Genomic DNA, 8,968 nt, shown 5'->3' with positions numbered 1-8,968 from the left:
TAGATATCCCTATTGTAGAATCTCATTGAAAAACCAAAAAATGAAATAAGAGAACTTGACTGATTTAAGTCTATCTAAGCAAAAGTGAACTAGATTTATTATTCTAATCTGAAAATCTGGATGAGAAAGAATCATAGGAGAGTGGATTGATGTAAAGATATTGGTGGGCTGAAATGGGCAGTGGGTGGGGGGGCATTGGGCTTGTCAAAAGAAAGGAGTTCTGTTTCCGATAATGTTTCCAGAATTTATCACATGTCAGTTCATGTTTACTTCTGGACATCAAAGGATGTGATCTTTTGTCAAGGTCTATAAGGGAAGGTATTTGTAATAGTTATTTATTGATGCAGAACAAATTATCCACATACTTGGGAGTTTAAAACATAAAACATTATTGTCTCATATTTCTATGAGTCAAAAATTTGAAGGCAGCTTAGCTGGATGGTTCTGGCTGAGGGTCAAGCCATGGTGTTGGCTGGAGTTACTGTCATCTTAAAAACTTCACTGGAGCTGTAGCTACAGGATCCACTTACTGGATGGTTCAATTACATGACTCTAGCAGAAGGCATTGATTCCTTGATGATTTTTGAAAAGAAGCATCCATTCCTGTCCACATGGACCTCTACATGGAGTTGCTTGAGTATTCTGATGACATGGTATCTATTACCAGCTTTCACCAGAGCAAGTGATCCCAGAGAGAGTGAAGAGACAGATGCAAGGCCCTGCATGACCTCATATTGAAGGTCACACACCATCACTTCTACATAGTCTATTTGATAGAAGCAAGCCACTACATCCACCCAACATTCAAGGGGTGGGGGATGAAGCTCCGTTTCTTAAAGGAAGGCATGTCAAAGAATTAGTAGATATATTTTAAAACTACTACTCTCATTTAATGTCATTTAACTTAATAAAAATTTTATATGATATTCTGTTGTATCTTGATGTTTTTTTAACATCTTTATCTTCAGTCATTGTTCCTAAAGTTCAGACACAATGCCACCTTCAAATGAACTGAAAAAGCACAATTTCATAATGAAAGCTATCTTATCTAGGGAAATGAAATTCCTGATTAAAATATTAAAATGTCAAAGAAAGTTAACATTTAAAAACATGTCAAGTAATGTATCTGATTACTGGATGTATACACTGTATAAACCAAAGAATATTGATTGTGAATCCTTAGAGAAATGACAGCCTTCTGTAAAAAACTGTGGAAGATGTATCTTCTATAGATGATAGAAACAAACGTGCATTTTAATCTCTACATATTGTTGCCTGATAAACTGCATTATATTAAATTAATTAGTTATTTTAAATAATTACCTCTCAGACTTCATCCTCCCCTCTTATTCTTTTGAGGGAGGGAAAGAATGATCATCAATACCAAGTGTCAGTTGCAGCAACACAACACAGAGAGCTGGCTTCATGCTTAGGAGACAATGCTGTGCCCCTTTCCCATAGTTGATGGTGCTCTACACTTTCAGAGAAACTTCTAGTACAAAGCATAAAAATGATCCCTGAAAGAATAGTCTTGATAAATGATATGGTTTGGCTGTGTCCCCACCCAAATCTCATCTTGAATTGTAGTTCCCATAATTCCTACATGTCATGAGAGGGACTGGGTGGAGATAATTGAATCATGGGGCTGGTTTCCTCCATCCTGTTCTCATGATAGTCAGTAAATTCTCAAAAGATCCGATGATTTTATAAGGAACTTCCCCCTTTGCTCAGCTCTCCTTCTTCTCCCTGCCACCATGTGAAGAAGGATATGTTGGCTTCCCCTTCTGCCATGACTATAAGTTTCCTGAGGCCTGCCTAGCCATGCTGAACTGTGAGTTAATTAAGCCTCTTTCCTATATAAATTACCCAGTCTCAGGTATGTCCTTATAGCAGCATAAGAATAGACTAATACAATAAATTATATTTTAAAGTTGAAATTGATGTTTGAGTATAAATGCCTCAGAAAGGCATATGTCCTGTTTTGCTTAGGGTGCAATCCTGCATAAAGTCACTCAATGTGCTAGTGTCCCAAAGCATTAAACTGAAGAATTTCATAAGTCTTTTCTCATTCATTTAAAGGATAGCAATTAATACTTTTCTTACATTTCTGGATTAATCCTGATTCTTTCTTAAAGATAGTAGATTTTTATGTCATTTGTTGACATTTAGTAATGAATGAAGTATGTCCTCCAACATTTTAGGACTATTAACTTCTATTTAAATAACACATTTAGAGGTATAATTAGCAAGCATTTTTTGCAATATTTTAATTTGGCATGTTAAGTTTTCTAAAATAATAAATTTCCATATGTATATGTAGTTGAATAATCTCAGCAATCTTATGCAGGCCAGAATTTTAAGTTTTCATTACTTTTTATAGCTACACAAGAATCAAAATTATATTTTATTAAAACATTAATGGAAAAGATTTGATTGCAACAGTTTTTAATACCACAGAGTGTATTTGTTGATTCAGTTTTTTGGAGTGGGGAGAAAATTAGAAAAGGAGAACAAAGAGAATATTGACAAAAATATGGAAATCTTTTTATTTTTTATTTTTAGAGATAAGATATCACTCTGGGCTGGGTGCACTGGCTCACACCTGTAATCCTAGCACTCTGGGAGACTGAGGCAGGCGGATAACCTGAGGTTGGAAGTTCGAGACCAGCCTGACTGACATGGAGAAACCCTGTCTCTACTAAAAATACAAAATTAGCCGGGCATGGTGGCGCATGCCTGTAATCCCAGCTACTCGGGAGGCTGAGGTAGGAGAATCACTTGAACCCAGGAGGAGGAGGTTGCGGGGAGCCGAGATGGAGCCATTGCACTCCATCCAAGGCAACGACAGTGAAACTCCGTCTAAAAAAAAAAAAAAAAAAAAATTACTCTGTCACTATACTATAATAATACTAATAAAAATAAAAATTGTACAATTATAGTTCAGGACTTCAAGGTCTCCCTCTCAGATACTGATAGGAATATTAGACAGAAAATTTAGCAAAGACAAAGCAAATCTGAACACCTTTCAGAAAATAGGATCTAATTGACACATATAAAAATGTCCACCTGAAAACTGCAGAATATATACATATTTATTTCAAGCACCCGTGGAACATTTGCCAAAATAACCTGAACCATAAAACAAACCTCGACAAATTTAAAAGAATTGAAGTAATGTAGAGTTTGTGTTCTGTGACCAAAAATCCATAACAGAAAGAAGCCTTTAAAATCTCTAAACACATAAAAAATAAACTACAAATTTCTAAATACTTCCTGGATAAAAGAAAAATTTAAAAATACATGCATAAAAATTAATAAAAACAAAAACACAATTTATCAGAATACATAATATGCAGCCAAGGCAGTGCTGAGAGGAAAGCTTATAGCCCTAAATTCCTACATCAGAAAAGAGAAAACCACTCAAATCAATTACCTAACTTTCTACCTCTAGAAACTAGAAAAAGAAGAGCAAAATTAACACAAAGAAAGCAGAAGAAAGGAAATCTTAAAGATGAGAGCAAAAACCAAAGAAATTTAAAATTATTAACAGTGGGGAAAACCAATGAAACAGAAAACAGAATCTTTAAAACAATCAATAACATTAAAATCTCTAGCAAGACTCACAGAAATACGAAGCAAGAAGGCATAAATAATAAATATTGGGAATAAAATATAGGATATAATTACAAATCTTGCAGCTATTAAAAGATTAACAAGGAAATGCTATGGATAACTTTACACTAATTTAGACAACTTAGAAGAAATTGAATGAGATAACCAGTAATAAAAAGAACAAATTATTGATATATGCAACAGCTTGGATGAATCTTCAGAGAATTATGCTGAGTGAGACAAGCCAATCCTAAAAGATTATATACTTTATAATTCCATTTATATAACATTCTTGACATACAAAATTTACAAATGGAGGACCTGTTAGTGGTTGCCAGAAATGAGGGATAGAGGGTTGTAAGTATGTGTGGTTCTAACAGAGCAACAGAAGGGATCCTGTAGTGATGAAACTGTTCAGTTTCTTGATTACCTGGTAATGAAACTGTTCAGTTTCTTGATTATCTAGTAATGAAACTGTTCAGTTTCTTGATTATGATGGCGGATATATGAATCTACACATGTAACATAATGCACAGATTAAACACCACACACACAAATAAGTAAAATGTATTTGGAGAAATCTAAGATTAGCAGATTGTATCAACATCAATAACATGGTTGTGCTATTATACTATAGTTTCAAAATGTTCCCATTAGGGAAAACTAGGGAAAGTGTACAGAGCACACTTTCAGTATTATTATTTACAATAGCATATCCAGGTACAATTTTCTCAAAATTTCAGTAAAATGTACAGTTGCTAAGATTTTTAAATAGCCATTATCTTAGAAGTGCCATTTTACGTGTTTTTCATCCTGATGAAAATCACTCAAGATATTGCCTGGCATATTTTAAACCCTGTATAAGTGTTTTCTAATACTACTTAATAGAATGCACAATAAATCTTCTTCATTCTTTCGCTTTTCTATTTCAGGACACAACATGTCATTCAAACTTACTATTATTTCCCAATAATTAAAGCACCCATGTACTTTTTATAGATAGATTTTTTAAACATGAGGAATCAGTCACACTTAATAATTTTTTACCTCCCAAATATTTTTTCATCGGGAAATCATAAAAAGTGAAGTTTGTTAACCAGTGTCAGCTCAGTAGGAGCACAAATAACTTATGCAGGTGATGGTGGAGCTGAGAGAAAAAGAGATGCAGATTTCTTCCTGTATTGTAAATGTAAAATATAGTCTGGTACCAAATGTCTCTTTCCTCTCCTTTTTCCTAGACCCTGGAATCTGTGCTGACTGAGCCCATCTGGGAAGGCACAAAAACCAGATGTCCATTGTGAACTGCTGGGGAGGCCCCATGGCAGTGAGAGCTAGTCCCAGAAAAGAAATCTCTTTGGGACACAATGAATACAGCCCTAATTTATATTTTAGGGCTTTAGAAGGAGACTAGGGTCAACAGTGGCATGATTTTAAACAGCAGTTGAGAAGGCTTTTTTTTTTTTAATCTTTACACCAGCGAAGCTGAATTATAAGTTTGAAGAGCTCCTGAAGTGTGAAAATATGCCCTCAAAGAAAAGGAGGCTGTGCAGATTACAAACAGTATGTAAAAGGATTGTGGTTAAAGAGCTTCATCAAAGCAATGCCATCTGCAGTTGGGTATTGTCACAGGGATTATAACTTTAGGAGGGATATAACCAGCAGGGGATAAAGGAATGGCCTCCCTCCTGTTTTTTATGCCAAAGCATTTGAACAATTAATAACAAGGGATTAGAGACCAAAAAATATATTGTGGCCTTGTTCTATTAAGACTGGTGTCAAGGTCGAAGAGACATGGTTCATGAACTTGGGAAGCCTTAGTGCCCTTGTCATAGGACATCTACAGCCCTCATGTGTCTCCAGTCCTAGCAAAATGCCATGATGACAAAAATTAGTTCTGGTCTAAGAGAATCAGTAAATCAGATACAGATATCCATCTGGCATTTCAGACTTGGATCTTAATCTTTTCCTCATCTTTTCTTTATTAGATGGCATATATTGGATTTACTTATTTCACTGACGATCCCTTTTCCCACGGGAGATGCATCATAAACACTGATAAAGGATTCTGAAACAATCAACTGAAGCTCAGTCAACACCAATCTAAATGAAAATTGCAATTAATATTTATCATATTTTTCCATGCCTAGTGACTTTAATTATCATTCAACCATATTTTGCTATTACAGTTGCCTCAGATAGTCAGTTTGTGACTTAATCTATCATGACAATTAATTACTTATCCATTTATTAATTTAACAACAACATGTTGAGGACCTATATGTGCCAGGTGCAACGGGATGCAAAGATAAACAGTCTTCCTACCTTCAGGCATCTCATAGATTGAATAGAAATATTAAAATTTCTACAAAGTATTAAATGCAATAATAAAGATATATATAGGATATAATAATACCACAAATGAAGGTTATTAAAGTTAGTTTGGGGGCCCTCGTCAATTTCTTGGTGCTTTTGCTGAGCCACACAAGTTAAGTAGCAAATAGGGTAGAAAGGCATTCCAGGTAGAGGCGGCAGCTGATATGCAAAGACAGGAAAATGAAAAACACATGGTGTGTGCAAGAAACTGCCTGCATTTTGTTGTTAGTAAGTAAAGTCTACATGAGTAGAAATAAAACTTGAGATGCAAGCAGGGTCTAGATTATGAAGGGCCTGGTTTATCTGATGAGGACTTTGAGTCTCATTACACTGAAGGGGAACCTTCAAAATACTTTGGGATTATAGCTGCAAAATTAGATTTCCATTTATGTTAGACTTCTCTGGCAGTTTTTGGTCAATGGATTTGAAAATTACGATATCTGAAGAAGGAAAACCAGTTAGATGGTTGTTTTAGCATTTTAGTTGAAAGATGAGGCTACCTAAAATAGGACACTATTAGTACGGCAGACACACCCTAAGGGGACCCACAATGAGTCACACTCATGTAATTTTTTCTCCCTTTGAGCATGGACAGACAATCTAAACAGAATAAATAAATACAACATGGTAAAGGTGATGAACTATCATTCCTTTGATTATGTATTTACATAAGGCTTTATTAGTAGACTGGGGTGAGAAACTCCCACTTACTGGCTTTGAACTAGTAATCTGACATATTGTAAGAGGTCCTGAGAGAAGCCCTTGAGGAAAAAAAAAAAAAAACTGCAAATGTCCTCTAGCAGATGGGAAAGTCTTCTGGCTGACAGACAGCAAGAAAACAGGAACCTTAGACACAAAACTGCAAGAAACTAAATTTTGCCAACAACCATGTCAACTTGAAAGTGGACCCTGAGCTCAGGAAAGGAACACAGCTTGGCCAACCTTTGATTGCAGCCTTGTGAGACCCTGAGCAGAGAACCCAGTGAAGCTGTGCCTGGGCTCCTGACCCACTGAAATTGTGAGATAACAAATGTGTGGCATTTAAAAAATTGTTAGTAAATGTGTGTTAATTTGTGAACACACAATAGAAAAAATATAAACAGATTAGAAGGAATAGATTCAGGAATGTTTTTGGAAAAAAATTTTCCAGACCTTGGTGATTGACTAGATGTGGAGAATGAGTGAGAGGGAGGAGTCAGAGGCAGTATAGCAGTTGGTGCCTATGTGCATCTCTTTAGCACGCACCTCCTCATGGTCCAAGACTACTTGTTGGAATCCCTGCACCCTTGTATGACAGCTCTTTGTTTGTTTGTTTTTTCCTGGCTGGTGGAGAACACTTTGCTGGTACAAAGGGCAAATCAGAAGTTCCAGAGATAATGTGTCTGGTCACTGGACCCCTCAAAAATGATGGAGGGAGATCAGGTAGATAAATACCTAGTTTCCTTGCCCATTAGTTGGAATAGCTCTGACTCTTGTTTTATACCATCTCTCAGACTTCCTCAGGGGGCTAAAAGTCCTATGGGATAAAGCTGTGGTTGCCCACAGTGGTAATTTGCTTAATAAGTCACATTCTACTCCCTGCTTTCTTTACCTTATTTCACTCCCCCATTTCTCTATTGGTATTTCCTGGGATAACCTCCCAAATAAACTACTTTCTTTTTTACTGCTTCAGGGGTCAACTCAGACTAAAACAGTTAACTTTCAGGCTTTAAGTTTGAACCATATAATATTTTCATGTTATCTTGTAGGAGAGGCATCATCAAATATGGGCAGTTCAACATGGTTATATAAGTAATTCAAATAGACAGTAGGAATTAAATAGGTTTAGGGGTTGAGACTGAGTCCAGTTTTAGATAAATTGACCTGATGACCTTTGCGATTTTCAGGTGAAAAATTTCAAAGGACTCTACTTATCAGAGTCACAACAGGAAGTAGATGATGCACACAAGAAGATGTCACTGAAAATGATTTAATAAATGAGCTATTTCCAGAGATGTTGGCAGGGTTCAGGGAACCAGCAATAAATGACAAAGGAGCCAGAGATGAGTAACAGTACAAGGCTGTTTTTATCCCTGGGCCTTAATGGGCAAGGGAATGAACAGTGCTTCATGAACTGGATGAGAACTGGTGTCACCCAAGAGGGGAAGCCAGAGGGAAGACATGGCCATCGTGAGATGCAGACCCTGCCAGAATCTCAGACAATCAGGCAAGAGAGGAGATGAATACTCCAATCCCATCTTTTTACCCTCTGATTTTCTGCTGGTGTCTTCCATTGACTGAACCCAATTATACGGCAGAGAATCTCAGTAATGAAATTTATACTCCTTCTCCTAGCCTGGGCAAAAATAGGATTTTAAAGAAGTAGAAAGTGGTACTGGGTGGATTGGGCAAATGGAAAGCAACACAAATTGTGAAAGCTTATTTGAGATAACTCATCTAGTGATATGAATTTGGGAACCATTCAAATGGGTGGGTAAAGTTCCCTACTGAATGAGTTGCACTTAGAATGTAGAGGCCTTGAAAGATTTTCAGTCCTGTTGTATTAGTTACCTCTTGCTTTAAAACAAATTACTTCTGACATTAGCAGCTTAAAGCAATTATTATCTCACACATTTTCTGAGGGTCAGAAATCCAGGGGTTGTTTAGCTCAGCAGTTCTAGCTGTGAGTACCACACGAGTTTGCAAAACCGGCTATTCCCTGGGTCTGCAGTCACTTATGGCTCCAATGGTAGAGGATCCACTTCCAAGAAGGCTCAATTACATGGTTATTTATTGGAGTCCTCACCATGTGGACCTCTCCATGGGCTGCTTCAGTGTTCTTACAACATAAAAGCTGAGTCCCACAAAGCAAGTGATCTGAGCAGGGGAGACAGCCGGCAAGCGTCCTCCTCAAGATAGAAAATGCAGTCTTCGTATAACTGAATCTCAGTAGGTACATGCCACCACTTTTGCCCTATTTCATTCATCAGAAGTATGTCCCTAA

The 8,968-nt window shown here is 36.7% G+C and overlaps 1 non-coding gene across 1 annotated transcript; it reads right to left on the bottom strand.

Annotated features, from left to right (window-relative positions):
• Positions 1 to 1,321: 1,321 nt before the first annotated feature.
• On the bottom strand, positions 1,322 to 1,533 carry LOC124906381 (small nucleolar RNA U3). The gene has a single exon (XR_007096346.1). It is a non-coding gene; the product is annotated as a small nucleolar RNA U3 (small nucleolar RNA).
• Between the last annotated feature and the right edge of the window lie 7,435 nt (positions 1,534 to 8,968).

The sequence above is a fragment of the Homo sapiens genome, chromosome 3 (genome assembly GCF_000001405.40).
Source record: "Homo sapiens chromosome 3, GRCh38.p14 Primary Assembly".
Lineage (NCBI taxonomy): Eukaryota > Metazoa > Chordata > Mammalia > Primates > Hominidae > Homo > Homo sapiens.
This window is presented reverse-complemented; position numbering and strand designations above follow the sequence as displayed.